Consider the following 15,635-nt stretch of genomic DNA (forward strand, 5'->3'; position numbering starts at 1 on the left):
AACCCCGTCTCTACTAAAAATACAAAAATTAGCCAGACGTGGTGGCACACACCTGTAATCCCAGCTACTTGAGAGGCCGAGGCAGGAGAATTGCATGAACCTGGGAGGTGGAGATTGCAGTGAGCTGAGAGTGCATCACTGCACTCCAGCCTGGGCAACAGAGCAAGATGCCGTCTTAAAAAAAATTTATATCCATGAGTATGAGTATATGCTGAGTTCCTTGAGATCTCTTGGTGAATCATCGAACCTGGAAGGTCTTGAGGACTCCAGCACCCTATATTTGACCTCTCTGACCTCATCATCTACCACACAGCTGTCTGTTCTCCTGTCTCAGTCACACTGATCGCTTGTCATGTTATTCAAGCATGCCAGACAGACTCTTACCTAGTGCCGTTTTCTCTCTTCCTAAAATATTTTCTCTCAGTTATCCACCTATCTGCTTCTTTCATAGTTTCCATCTTAAATAATTGTTTTCTTCTTCAGGAAGCCTTCCTAACCACCCTATTTATGATTATAACCTTCTGAGAACCCTTTCTATTGCCCTTCCCTGATTTACTTCTATCTACAGACCATATTCTTCCTACCATACCACTTATTTTAACTGTATTTCTTGTCTCCATCACTAGAATATTAACTTCAATAAAGGTAGAGATATTTGTCTCTTTTGTTCATTTCTGAACCCTTAGATTCTAGAAGAGCACCAGGTCATAGTAGGGCATCAGTAAGTTCTTTTCAAAGAAATAATTATTTTACCATGCATCCATCACCACCTGTTGCAGCTATCTCTTGTTGTATTACAAACTATCACCAAAATGTAGTAGCTGAAAATACCACTCAACAACATGATTGTGTAGGTCAGGAATTTGGACCAAGCACATGGGGGAAGTCTCTGTGTGATGTTTTCTAGGTCTGGGATGCTCAAGATGGCATCTTCACTCACATGTCTAGTGCCTCAGCTAGAATGGCTCTACTAGCTGTGAAGATAAAGCAGCCACTCTCGGGTTTTGATGAGTTTCATGGCCTCCTGGATGATAAGGCACACACGTGAATAAGCCAGTTTTGCTTTAGTGGTATGTTTGCAGGGATACAATATAGACAAATAATGCCCTTTGAAAGAGAAGACACTAAAGCCGTTTTGAAAGATGATGAAGAATTTTCCACGAGAAAAGTGAGATAAGACATTCTAGGTGGAGGGAAAAAAGTGGTTGAGGGAGTTGTGAAAAGTTGAGCGTAGCCTGGAGAGGAGTGGGTGCACACACTAATTTGGACCAGATGCTGATGGTCCTTGGGTGCTGCCCTAAGGGATTTTCATGCTGTCTTAATGTAGCTCTCCATTTTGTTACGAATATACTCACATTTTGCTTAATTTGCATGAGTTTAAAAATATGTGTATAAACTTAAAATGGAGCATTTTCAGAAAATTGGGGAATAAATTACCTAACTTTGTAGTATGTCTGTTAAGGCCTCATCACTTGGTTGGTTATGCTGGTTTTCACACATTCCCCTGCAAAACTGTTTTCAACAAAATTATCAAGATCTAGTAGCTAAAGGCCATGGTTACCTTTTACTTCTTGTTTTTGATGATGTCCCACCTTTTAAAACTCTCTACTCATGGGCTTTTCAGGATTTTTTTTTTTTTGAGACAGAGTCTCACCCAGGGGCTTTTCAGGATTCTTAAACATCTGTCTTCTTTGAGTCTTCACAGATGCCCTCTCTGCCATCTTCTTGTATGTTGGTACACTGGGGTTCTGGCCTCGTCCTCCATGGGATCTCATTCACCACATGGCTTCACCTACCCGTAAATACACACTTCTAGCCCTGAACTTGCTCCAGATCCCAATATCTGCCTGCCTCTGGACTTCATTACCTGGATGTCCCACAGACAATTCAAGCCCACTCTATTCTCTGTGAATCTGCTTGCCCCATTCCTTGTAGCCTGTTACTGCGCACATGGCACCATCATTCACTTGGTTGTCTAATCTAGAAACCTGGATATCCTTCACACCTCCCTCATATTCCACCACATGTCCAGTCGCTCAGAAATTTCCTTTGATGCTTTGAAGTTATCTCTCTTGGATCTGCTTCCTCCTTATCGTCTCTACATCCCAAGAACAGAGAGTGAGTCTTCTTTATTTTCTTATCTCTGTTTTTAGCACAGTATTTGATATATAGTGTAGATACTATAAATGCTTGCTAAACTTTGTCAAATTCCACATTTTTAAAATAAAAATGAGAATGAGCTTGTAGTCAACATGGCGTTTGTAAGTTTGGAGTCTATATATGGTAGATATACATATTTTTAAATCTAAGTGCAACTTTTCTCTTGATTATCTTGAAATGCCTTATCATCTCCACATTTGCTGTAGGCAGTAGTTTAGTGGTCCATTATATCTGCCACACTGATTGTCTTAAATAACAGTTTCAAATTCTGACAGGTTGACTTGCTTCTTAGATTTTTCAGACTGAGTGCTCTGTAGTTATGGATTTTCCATGAAGCAACATAATGTTTTTGCTTCATGCAGGTTTGTGTGATGCAGTCTCTTGTGTTTGAATAATGTTTGATTTTCAGCATTCATTAATTTCATGTTGATTTTAAAATTATCTGGACTACCTCAATTTTGATGGATTCTTTATTTTTGACAGGCATGATATCTCTGTCTTAGGAGCTACTAAATTGAGCCTGCCTCCTGTTGCTGAACTCTCGTTTTTTGGATTGCAATGTGGTGGAATTGCAGGATATCAAGACAGGCCGGTTAAAAAGGTTTTCTCTCAGTTTAGTCTCTATCAGATGCAGTGCCAAGTATCTTCCAGATAAATATGTCCTGCATTGCTCTTGTCCGCTGCCTCAAGTTGAGGATGTTAAACTCTCTGAGTTGTCCCTGTTTGCAGATGACATGATTGTGTATTTAGAAAACCCCATTGTCTCAGCTCAAAATCTCCATAAGCTGATAAGCAACTTCAGCAAAGTCTCAGGATACAAAATCAGTGTGCAAAAATCATAAGCATTCCTATACACCAATAACAGACAAACAGCCAAATCATGAGTGAACTCCCATTCACAATTGCTAAAAAGGGAATATAATACCTAGGAATCCCACTTACAAGGGATGTGAAGGACCTCTTCAAGGAGAATTACAAAACACTGCTCGACAAAATAAAAGAGGACACAAACAAGTGGAAGAACATTCCATGCTCATGGATAGGAAGAATCAATATCGTGAAAATGGCCATATTGCCCAAGGTAATTTATAGATTCAGTGCCATCCCCATCAAGCTACCAATGACTTTCTTCACAGAACTGGAAAAAACTACTTTAAAGTTCATGTGGAACCAAAAAGAGCCCTTATTGCCAAGTCAATCCTAAGCATAAAGAACAAAGCTGGAGGCATCATGCTACCTGACTTCAAACTATACTACAAGGCTACAGTAACCAAAACAGTATGGTACCGGTACCAAAACAGAGATATAGACCAATGGAACGGAACAGAGGCCTCAGAAATAACAACACACATCTATAACCATCTGATCTTTGACAAACCTGACAAAAACAAGAAATGGGGAAAGGATTCCCTATTTAATAAATGGTGCTGGGAAAACAGGCTAGTCAGATATAGAAAGCTGAAACTGGATCCCTTCCTTACACCTTATACAAAAATTAATTCAAGATGGATTAAAGACTTAAATGTTAGACCTAAAACCATGAAAACCGTAGAAGAAAACCTAGGCAATACCATTCAGGACATAGGCATGGGCAAGGACTTCATGACTAAAACACCAAAAGCAATGGCAACACAAGCCAAAATTGACAAATGGGATCTAATTAAACTAAAGAGCTTCTGCACAGCAAAAGAAACTACCATCAGAATGAACAGGCAACTTACAGAATGGGAGAAAATTTTTGAAATCTACCCATCTGACAAAGGGCTAATATCCAGAATCTACAAAGAACTTAAACAAATTTACAAGAAAAAAACAACCCCATCACAAAGTGGGCAAAGGTTATGAACAGACACCTCTCAAAAGAAGACATTTATGCAGCCAACAGACACATGAAATAATGCTTGTCATCACTGATCATCAGAGAAATGCAAATTAAAACCACAGTGAGATACCATCTCACACCAGTTAGAATGGCATCATTAAAAAGTCAGGAAACAACAGATGCTGGAGAGGATGTGGAGAAATAGGAATGCTATTATGCTGTTGGTTGGAATGTAAACTAATTAAACCATTTTGGAAGACAGTGTGGCAATTCCTCAAGGATCTAGAGCTAGAAATATCATTTGACCCAGCAGTCCCATTACTGGGTATATACCCAAAGGATTATAAATCATGCTGCTATAAAGACACATGCACACATATGTTTATGGCAGCACTATTCACAATAGCAAAGACTTGCAACCAACCCAAATGTCCATCAATGATAGACTGGGTTAAGAAGATGTAGCACATATATACCATGGAATACTATGCAGCTGTAAAAAAGGGTGAGTTCCTATTCTTTGCAGGGACATGAATGAAGCTGGAAACCATCATTCTGAGCAAACTATCACAAAGACAGAAAACCAAACACTCCAGGTTCTCACTCATAGGTGGAAACTGAACAATGAGAACACTTGGACACAGGGTGGGGAACATCAAACACTGGGGCCTGTTGTGGGGTGGGGGGTCTGGGGAGGGATAGCATTGGGAGAAATACCTAATGTAAATGACAGGTTGATGGTTGCAGCAGACCAGCATGGCATATGTATACCTATGTAATGAGCCTGCATGTTGTGCACATGTACCCTAGAACTTAAAAGTATAATAGTAAAATGTGCCATGTAATCAGTGAGGTCTCAGTCAGACTTCCAATTAGGGGATCCTGTGTGATGATTGCCTGTAACAATCTGATCATCTAAAAGTCACTTTAGTCACATGGAGGAAGATTTAGACAGTGACTTTGGGTCAGTATTGTGTTTTTTGCTGAGGATATAGAGTAAAATAAGACACAGCTTCTGCCACCAGTGGGCTTATAGATTTAACAGGCATAGAGGAGCATGGCAACAAATGGCATGGTATGATCAAGGTGCTTTGGGGCAAGGGGAGGTGGGGAAGTTGAGCAGGTTTCACTCCATGAGCTGTACGTGGCCAGGGGTTTGAAGGATGCATGGACAGTTGCCAGGGAAGTAGGAGTGGAAGATGGGGCAGGACATGAGGGAGGGGTGGGGGCAGCCTACCGCTGTTTGAAGGTAAACATGTATGTTTTGTTTGAAGGAGGAGGTTGGGGAGAAGAGGATAGAATTGTGGGAAGTTTCTCCAGGACAGTTGTGGGACGGGTAGTAGGGAAGGAGTAAGGGTCAAAGCCAGAGTTAAGGAAGCATTTGGGGCAGGATGGAGATATTGTTGGACCTACCTTTTTTATTGATTGCGCTAGAGAGTGGAGATAGAGGGAGCTGGGACTGGAGGTGGAGGAACTGGCTCAGGTCCTGCTGTTGGAGTGGAGGTTAGATGTATTGAAGCAGAAGCAGAAATGAGCTTTGAGGTTTAGGGGGCAAAGTAATTAGGCTTGGGGGTTGACTCTCAGTGGGAAGAGAAGTGTAGGTGGAACTGGGGAGAGGGCGCAGTCTCTGAGACATTTCAGTGAATATGCCTGTGTTCTGGCCACCCAGGCTGGGGTTCCGAGATAACTAAGACATGGCCTTTGCTTTACAGAACCTGATAGATAGGGATAGGAGAGGTGGGAGACTGAGAACAGATGAAAGGGTTGGTGAGCAGTGTGAGGGCCTGGAGCAATCAGAAATCCTGAGTTCGTAAAGATGCCAATCTTTTGCACCAGTTGTTCAGCATTGGATTAGAGCCTTGATTCAAGGTTGGGATTAGAGGGCAGGTGTGGGAACAACCTGGTGCTCAGAAATAAAAGTTGTTAGGCTCAGTTAATGAAAGTATAAATTGATATGGGTGGCTTTTAGACTTTGGTAGTCACAGTGGCTGGAAATCTTCCTTTGTTCCTCCGGACCCGCTCTTGTCCCTTTTCCAGTCCCCTCTGTGACCCAGGAGGCTGAGCTGAGTGGACTTTCTTGCCCTCTGGCTTCTAGTTAGGGTCGGCCATTGGGGAAGCCCCAGTGAGAGAACAAGAGGGTGGGCAGCTCCATTCCTGCCAGGTCACTGTGGGCTGGCTGCTTCCCTTTCCTAAAGTCCACAGCTCTAGCCCTATGTACTCATCTCCCTTGTATTTTTTTTTTTTTTTTTTGAGATGGAGTTTTGCTCTTGTCACCCAGGTTGGAGTACAGTGGTGCGATCTTGGCTCACTGCAACCTCCGCCTCCAGGGTTCAAGTGATTCTCCTGCCTCAGCCTCCCGAGTAGCTGGGATTACAGGTGCACGCTACCACGCCCGGCTAACTTTTTGTATTTTTAGTAGAGACGGGGTGTTGCCATGTTGGGCAGGCTGGTCTTGAACTCCTGACCTCAGGTGATCCACCAGCCTCGGGCTCCCAAAGTGCTGAGATTACAGGCGTGAGTCACCGCGCCCGGCCATCTCCCCTGTATTAAGGTCACTCCTTTACCTGGCCTGTTGGGTCTCAAACAATGGCAAGGGATTGCCGCTGTTAGGACCATTGTCCCTTGATGGTTTACTGCCAAAGTTTGGACTAATAAAGACAGAAATATTTGCCTGCATGACTCAGTATCTACATACACACACACATACAACAAACCCCCGTGCCCCACCCCCAGCCTGAAACAAAAGTTTCAGGAGAGTACTTACCTTTGCTGTGAATGATGCCCTCAGATTTCTAAATTCTATTTTGTTTCACTGAAAAAGTAGTTGGGGTGTGCTAAATTGATTTCACTAATGGGTTAGGGCCCATAGTAAAAAAACCACTGGAGCTTCCTGATGTTTATGGACACAGGATGGACCATCAGATCAAGTGACTCAGAAATCCTCACAGCGCTAAGATCTGATTGCTTATAGATTTATCCAAAGTGTGAGGCTGAAGTTAAGCTTCTAAAATGAACTTAAACTCCTAAAATCAAATGACATTGTAGGTGTTAATAGGTGAATTTTTCTGTGGATTATAATGCCACGTACCTTATATGTGTAATAGAGATAATTTTTGGATCTTGAGACTTGTGTATGGCTAGTGTGTGAGCTAAGAGTCATCCTGGCCCAGAAGTCGCTGTGGCTTTATAAAATCTTCGAGAAACTGAAAGAGTTTTACTTGTCATCTTGTTTTTCTTTTGTCATGACATGGTGATAGTATTGGTAACTTTAAATATTAGGTCTGGATTACTTCCTTTTGTAGCAAAGAGATGAGGAAGTGTAAGATGGATAAATAATCCTTGCCTCTGTATTTATAGACACATTTATAGAGATTCAGTGGGCTTGAGTTTTGACAGCAGTGTTTGATCAGAAACATTTTCCCAGAACCTTAAAAAAAAACTGCAGTTCAAATATTTCTAATAAAAAAAATTTTTTTTTTTCGTTGCTGTAACTAGATTTGCATTTCCGATTTTTCTCTCTCTTGTTTCACTTTTGTCTGTGGCTGAGGAAGGGCCACTTGGGAAATGCAGCTGTGGGTCGTAAGGAGTCCCTCACTCTATCGCTCTGTGTTTCCTGGGGCTGCCATGACAATGTACCACAAACTGGGTGGTTTAAAACAAGAGAAATTTATTTTCTCACAGTTCTAAAGTCTGTAGATTCAAATTTAAGGTGTTGGCAGGGCCACGCTTCCTTCAAAACCTCTAGAGAAGGATTCTTTCTTGCTTCTTCCAGCTTCTGGCAGCCCAGGGCATTTCTGAGCTATGGCAGCATAACTCCAATCTCTGCCTCCGTTTTTACATGCCGTCTTCCCGCTGTCTCTCTCTCTCTCTCTCTCTCTCTCTCTCTCTCTCTCTCTCTCTCTCTTTCTCTCTTCTCCCTTTATAAGGACACCAGTCATACTGGATTAGGGTCCACCCTAATGACCTCGTCTTAATTTGATTCCATCTGTAAAGACTCTGTTTCTAAATAAGGTCACATTCATAGGTATGGGTGGGGGGGACTGGGATCTCAACATACTGTGTTTTGGAGGATAACACACTTCAACCCATAATAATGGCAATTTGTTTTTAATGCATTTTTTCTTGCTTTTCCACTAAGACACATTGGGGGAATTCTGTTGATTTCCCCATTGCCTTTCTTACAATGTTACTCTCTTTATTTCTTATATTTTTGCTCCAAAATAGTCCACATATAATAATCATTCTGTATTATTGAGAATTGAAGGTTATTGGTGTGATTGACTTATCTACTACCTTCTCCATGTAAACATTTTGGTATCTGCTTCCTTGTTCTCATTTACCTTTTCAGTTGACACTTTTGAGACTCATGTATGTCCTAAATTCTATCTCATGTCACATCCTTTGTGGTCTGCTTTATTTTTTATTTTTTGAGACGGAGTCTTGCTCTGTCACCCAGGCTAGAGTGCAGTGGCGCTATGTCGGCTCACTGCCAGATCCACCTCCCGGGTTCACGCCATTCTCCTGCCTCAGCCTCCCGAGTAGCTGGGACTACAGGCACCCGCCACCATGCCCGGCTAATTTTTTTGTATTTTTAGTGGAGACGGGGTTTAACCGTGTTAGCCAGGATGGTCTCGATCTCCTGACCTTGTGATCTGCCCACCTCAGCCTCCCAAAGTGCTGGGATTGCAGGCGTGAGCCACTGCGCCCGGCCAGTGGTCTGCTTTATTAAGCATTGATTGAAGCCCAGTGGCTGGTATGGATTACATTGCTATTCAGTCTGTAATTACGTTCTTTTACAGGTGGCAGGTGGAGTGTTTTGGAGCATGTGTCATGTCCCCCACGTAGCTCAGTTCCTTTCCTTCGGGGCTTCACATGCATACATTTTGAAATGAAGAAAGCCATAAGCAGGTGCCAGATGAGTTTCCTGGGCACTCAGAAGGAAGAGAGCCTGCAGTAGGCTGGAATGGCCAAGTGGGAAAATGGACAGAATTTAGACAAATGCAGTAGAGGATGAGGGAGAGTGTATCATGTGGCAGAGATGATGGAAGTACAAGCATTGTAGTAGTTCTTAATTTGTTGATCCTAACACCCCTTTGCCCTCATATTTTCTTAGAAGACCTGAGGGAACGTTTCATGTGCGTTATATCTATATTTATCATATTATAAATCAAAAATGAGAAATTAAAAAATATGTTCAATTGATTTAAAATAACAAAGTGCCCATTACAAGTTAAAATACTTATTTTTAGGAAAAATAACTACAAAACAAAAAAAAATGTGGTGAGAACCATAGCACTATATACCATTTTTTTGCAAATCTCTTTAATGTTTGGCTTATTAGCTGGATTCTCAAATCTGCTTTCTCATTCAATCTGTTGCAATGTTGTTTTGATTTAAATATATGAAGAAAATCCTGCCTCATACAGATATGTAGTTGGAAAGGGAGAAGCATTTTAATAGCTTCGTCAGATAATTGTAGATATGCTTTTTGTAGATATACTACATGAAAATTCAGTAAGTTATAGTTTCTTTTTCTTGCTTAAAAATACATTTATTATATCACAGTTTCTATGGGTTAGCAGTCTGCACACAGCTTAGCTGGGTCCTTTTCTTAGACTCACCAGGCTGCAATCAAGATATCGCCTAGGCTATGCTCTCATCTGGAGGCTTGACTGGGAAGAATCTGCTCCAAGCTAACTCAGGTTGCTAGCAGAACGCTTTCCTTGTTTCTGTAGGATTGAGGGGCCTAGCTTTTTTCTGGCTACTAGCTAGAGGCCACCTTCAGCTCCTGGAGGCCACCCTTCTTTCCTAGAGGTCACCTGCAGTTTCTTGTCATGTGGGCTTTCTTAACCCAACTGCTTACTTTATCCAGCCAGCAAGGAGTCTCTAGAGCAAGTCAGCTCGCAACACGGAGTATTATATAATACAACATAATCATGGGAGTGACATTTCAACATGGTTTCTTAAAGGTTCATTGCAATGTTGAATTTGGAATCACAACCAATGAAATATTCATACTCCATTACAATGCATTGGTTCATGTGGTACTTTGACTGATCTTGTATTCCTGTGTGATTTAATACCATACATTGGTCATTTGGAAACTATTAGTTCACTGAGTTGTATCAGTTTTCCAAACGTTGACATATTTCATTATATAATATCAAAAACTACGCATATTAACATTACTATCAATTTCATCAGAAACATCTAAGTATTGAGAAGCTATCAAGCTCACAGTGGTGGATACAGGTGTTAAAAATTTTTAATTTTTGGATTATGATTGACAACAAATGCTGTCATCTGTTTTCCTTCAAGTGCCGAGGTGTACATCATTCATTCTCAAGAAATACCTATCAAAATCTCAAGAATAAATATCCAGAGTTCATCTGCCAGTCATTCCCTTCAAGCAAAAATGGTGCACCATAAAAAAACCAGTTAGTTCAGCCTGCAGCTCAGTCAGTCAATCAATCAGAGGAGTGCTTTTCTCTGAGGTGACCACTGTACTTCAGTATGCGGCAGAATGCTTTATGTGTACTTCCCATTTCCTTACACACAATGTCAAAAACATGTGAAATCAAAGGTCAAGAGATAATGAAATTTTACCTGCTTCATCAAGGGCATGCTTACATTATTTTTTAACTACCAATGAGTGGCAGTGAATAATATTAATACAATGACTGCTAGTATAGTTTAGTGTCACTACCTCCATTCAAGCTAAGGCATCAGTAGTGCCAGTGTTGAACATAGTTGTTTCAAGGATAAACCATGAGATTCCAAAAGTTATTAGACACATTGACTGTTTAAGCACCAGTGTTTATTTTCAGAATTTCACATTTAAAAAAAATCTTCAATCAGCATCAGCACCAATTAGTCATTTTATAATCCATTTGTAAGGCAAAGGTACAGCTCTGCAGTTGGGATGTGAACTCAGTCGTCATGTTTGTAGACAAACCTTTCATTTGAGGAGTTACTGTGTCATTAGGAAATGGCACTGCCATGTTTTTTTTAAACTAACTTATCCAGCAGGCCTTCAGCAATGTCAGTGGTACAAAGTTTTCTTAGTGTCTCAGTTACTGTGTGTTTTTCTCCAGCTAATGCAGTATGATACCCTATAAGGTCTTTCAGTGGCTTTTTCTCTTCTCTCTTGAAAAACTACAACAACGTTTGTCTTATAAAGTTCTCATCATGTCTGCATTAAAAAAAATCAATTCCTTTTCCTTTAAATCCTTAGTGATTATTTTCAAAATGATGTTGCAACTGAACTATTTGAAAATATTCTGTTGCGTAAGACATAGTATAAATTACTAAATATCTATAAAGACAAGGTAAAGACAACTTTGTTAATGTTTTTGTTTATTTATAATTTTCCTCAGGGTTGTTTTGATTTTTTTTCTTAAGTAGTTGCTTCCCTTCCATGGATCAGAGGCCTCTAATGTGTCAGTTTCATCTTTTTTAGTATCTTTAGGCATAAAAAGTATGTATACCTGTGGGTAGGAAAGCAGGCTTTCTAAACCTCTTTTTTTTTTTTTTTGAGACGGAGTCTCGCTCTGTTTCCCAGGCTAGAGTGTAGTGGTGCGATCTTGGCTCACTGCAACCTCCGCCTCCCAGGTTCAAGTGACTCTCCTGCCTCAGCTTCCCAAGCAGCTGGGATTACAGGTGCCCACCACCACGCCCAGCTAATTTTTGTATGTTTAGTAGAGACGGGGTTTCATCATGTTGGCCATGCTGGTCTTGAACTCCCAGCCTCAGGTGATCTGCAACCCCTTAGCCTCCCAAAGTGCTGGGATTACAGGCTTGAGCCACTGTGCCCAGGCTCTAATCCTCCTCTTTTATGTTGGATTTTTTTTTCGTTAAAACGTACATAACATAAAATGTTCCATTTTAAGTGTATAGTTCAGTAGCATTAAGTATATTCATATTGTTGTGCAACTGTCGCCACCACCCACCTACAAAACTTGTTCATCTTCCCAAACTGAAACTCCATACCCATTAAATAATAACTCCCTATTCCCCACTCCCCCAGGCTCTGACAACCACCATTTACTTTCTGTCTATGAATTTGACTACTCTAGATACCTCAGAAGTGGAATCGTGCACTATCTGTCCTTTTGTGACTTTATTATTTCATTTAGCGTAATAATGTCTTTGGTTAATTCATGTTGTATCATGTTTCAGAATTTCCTTCCTTATCAAGGTTAAAGAATATTTCTTTGTATGTATGTACCACATTTTGTTTATTCATTTATCCATTGATGGATGCTTGGTTCCTTCCACTTTTGGTTATTGCAAATAGTGCCACTGTGAACATGAGTGTACAAGTGTCTGTTCTACTCTCTGCTTTCACTATTTTCGGGTGTATACCCAGAAGTAGAATTGCTGGATTATATAGTAATTCTATGTTTTATTTTTTGAGGAATCCCCCTACTGTCTTCCACAATGCTGTATCATTTTACAGTCCCATCATCAGTGAGCAAAGGTTTCAATTTCTTCCTATCTCTGCCAACATTTATTTCTGTTTTAATAGCCATTCTAATGGGTGTGAAGTGTCTAATCTCTTTTAAGGCAACAATCCATCTTTAAATATAAAAAGTTAGATATTTATTTTAGAATGATATAGTAAATTCTAAATTATAGTTTTCATACAACTAAAATATTTAGAATAATTTTTGAAAAGATTTAAAATACTATTGTAAATCTGTGAAATGACAAATCAAAAGGGCAAATAACCTTTTAGACTTGAGAAAGAGTTTTGACTTTGCAGATTTTCAAAAAAGGTATTGGGATACCTAGGGGTTTGTAGACCATACCTGAAGAACTGCTTGATGAAATATAGTATTAGAAACATGGTCTCAGCTTCTCATGAAACTCTTTCCATAGGTGGATAAATAATGATTTCTTTTGATTTACAAATTTGTTTACTAAGAACTTAAAAAATGTTTTTTCACATTCTACAACAAAGATTTTATTTAACAATAACAGAAAAAGAAATAACAAATCAGTTGCCATGGAATTAAAGTTGGGAAAGAAGAATGTTTTGTTCTTGACTGGGAAACCATTTAGAACTGGCAATAGAAGGCAGGAATAAATTGTACTTTTCTGACAATAGGAATGTTTTAAGTCTGTTCTTAATCTTTAAAAAAATTTTTTTAAGATCATTTAAGGAGGGTGTATGTATCAGTTTTCAAGTTAAGAGATTTCTCTGAAGCAGCAATTACAACACTTATTTAAAATATTTGAAATATGTTGTTAGAATACCAATTAGGTAATTACAAGAAATTATTGAAATTTCATTCAAGAAAAAATTACAGGCTGGTTTCGGTGGCTGACACCTGTAATCCCAGAACTATGGGAGGCCCAGGTGGATGGATCACTTGGGGTCAGGAGTTTGAGACCAACCTGGCCAATATGGTGAAACCCTGTCTCTACTAAAAATACAAAAATTAGCCAGATGTGGTGGTGTGTGCCTTTAATCCCGACTACTCGGGGGGCTGAGGTAGGGGAATCAATTGAACCTGGGAGGCAGAGGTTGCAGTGAGCTGAGATTGCGCCACTGCCCTCCAGCCTGGGTGACAGAGTGAGACTGTCTCAGGAAAAAAAAAAAAAAATTGCAGGAAAACTCAGGCATATTATTTTGTTTTATAACCCAAATATATCATTGCTTTAAATGACATACCAAAACCCATCAGCATTTAAATAAGCTTATTTCTTTTTCTTCCCATCAGCCATCTACTGAATATTGGGAGTGTGGTGCTGAACCGCAGCCTCACCTGAGGTCAGGGGAAGACTCAGTTTTTTTGCTTTCACTGCACAGTTTGCATATTTAAACATTCTTGAAAAGAATTGCTCTAAATATCACTAATTATCTCCATGCGTATAGCTCTTATCTTTTATTTTTCATGAAACCAAAGGTTGTGATCTCTCATCTTTACAATATGACATCTTTTTACTTAGATTTAGATGCTATATGAAACCGTAATGCCTCTCTTTAAGCTCCAATTCAGATAGTAGATTTGGATAGCATAAATGTTTAATACTGTATGTAAATGTCCACATATAGGTTGAAATTATAAGATGTGTAACATAGAGTAGTAATCATCAAATAGGTGACAGATATCCATGTGGCTATTCATTGGGGAATGTGACTGTGAATCACTGTATTAAATTCACCTCCTGCAGTCATGGGCTAGGCGGTGTCCATTGGTGCTGCCTAGCATTCTTAGTTTTGGCCATTTTGTTTAGGTAGATAGTTGTCTATTAAGCAAGATACTTACTGTGTGTTTTGTAACTAAAAATTGTTTGAGAGAAATTTTAGATCTTCCCTTTGGTTTCAACATTATGAAGTATGAAATTATGAATAGTGCTTTAGATTGTCCCATGCAGTTAATGATGAAAACCAGTTGGAGAAGGTGATGAGAGCACTCTAAGAAAACTACTTATTTGTGCAAAAAAGTGGGGAGATGATGCTTAATGTGGGGATGCTTCATTGCACATTGGGCCACTTGTTGCTATAGTCTCAAAGATCATGATGTTAAACATCATCAAGATGATACAAAATCAAACCTTTCTCTGAACGTTTGCCATCCTGTCTCCTGTTTGGGCCTGGAATATTGAGCTGAGATTTTGTAAGTGTGTGGCAAAATTTATAACGGGGCTACAAGACACTCAGAGTAATGGTTCCAATGACTGGAGGTGTGTGTGCTGATCATTACTGTTGGAGTCAAGATATTGGGGCCTCCTTTGTGAAGGCAAGGTCTGAAAGGGAATGAAATTTCATAGATGAAGGCTACAAAGTCACAAAATGTACAGTAAAGTATGAATTCACATCTGCAAGGGAGAGCTTGTTGTACTCTGAGTGAGCCAAGTCTTGCTTCCAGTGAGTGTCTGGTTCATTCCTCACATAGGCAGCATAGGTGGGAAGTATAAAGAACTTGGCTGTGTTTATGAAAGAGACAGCTTTAACTTCTCAGTGGGGCTGGACTGTAGCTCACCTTTAGGGTTGATGTTGGGAAGACAAATAGGCTGCTTTGTGCCGCCTTCTGTATTAGCAAGGCAAAGAACAGCTTGACAGTTTCTTTGCTCTTCTGACATGATTCTGTCCATCTAGCTGGAATAGGGGGCTCAATTTCTGAGGACAGGTAGCTGAGAATATTGTGGTTTGGGGACCTCTCAAAAATACGGAGAGTCTTGTTTGCCTGGATAGGAGCTCTATTCCAAAGGTGAGGGAAGGAAGTGATAATGACTTGTTAAAAGCAACCTTTTAGGTAGATTGACCAGGGGCAGAGTTTACAGGATGAATGGGAAATGAGAAAGAGTGAAGTTCAAACAGGTAAGCTGTTGTAACTGAGGTGTATAAGCTGTTATAACTGAGGTGTATGAGCTGTTGTAACTGAGGTGTATAAGCTGTTGTAACTGAGGTGTATAAGCTGTTGTAACTGAGGTGTATAAGCTGTTGTAACTGAGGTGTATAAGCTGTTGCAACTGAGGTGTATAAGCTGTTGTAACTGAGGTGTATAAGCTGTTGCAACTGAGGTGTATAAGCTGTTGTAACTGAGGTGTATAAGCTGTTGTAACTGAGGTGTATAAGCTGTTGTAACTGAGGTGTATAAGCTGTTGCAACTGAGGTGTATAAGCTGTTGTAACTGAGGTGTAT

At 40.0% G+C, this 15,635-nt stretch overlaps 1 protein-coding gene and 1 long non-coding RNA gene across 6 annotated transcripts in view; both read left to right on the top strand.

Annotated features, from left to right (window-relative positions):
- Positions 1 to 15,635, top strand: part of PARD3B (par-3 family cell polarity regulator beta) — a 1,074,688-nt gene that overhangs the window by 9,906 nt on the left and 1,049,147 nt on the right. The window lies entirely within an intron of this gene.
- LOC124907967 (uncharacterized) overlaps positions 2,645 to 15,635 on the top strand; it is a 34,980-nt gene continuing 21,989 nt past the window's right edge. The window contains exon 1 of the long non-coding RNA XR_007088056.1: positions 2,645 to 15,560. This is a non-coding gene — a long non-coding RNA (uncharacterized LOC124907967). The remainder of the gene's footprint in view (positions 15,561 to 15,635) is intronic.

Source organism: Homo sapiens, chromosome 2, assembly GCF_000001405.40.
Source record: "Homo sapiens chromosome 2, GRCh38.p14 Primary Assembly".
Classification (NCBI taxonomy): Eukaryota; Metazoa; Chordata; class Mammalia; order Primates; family Hominidae; genus Homo; species Homo sapiens.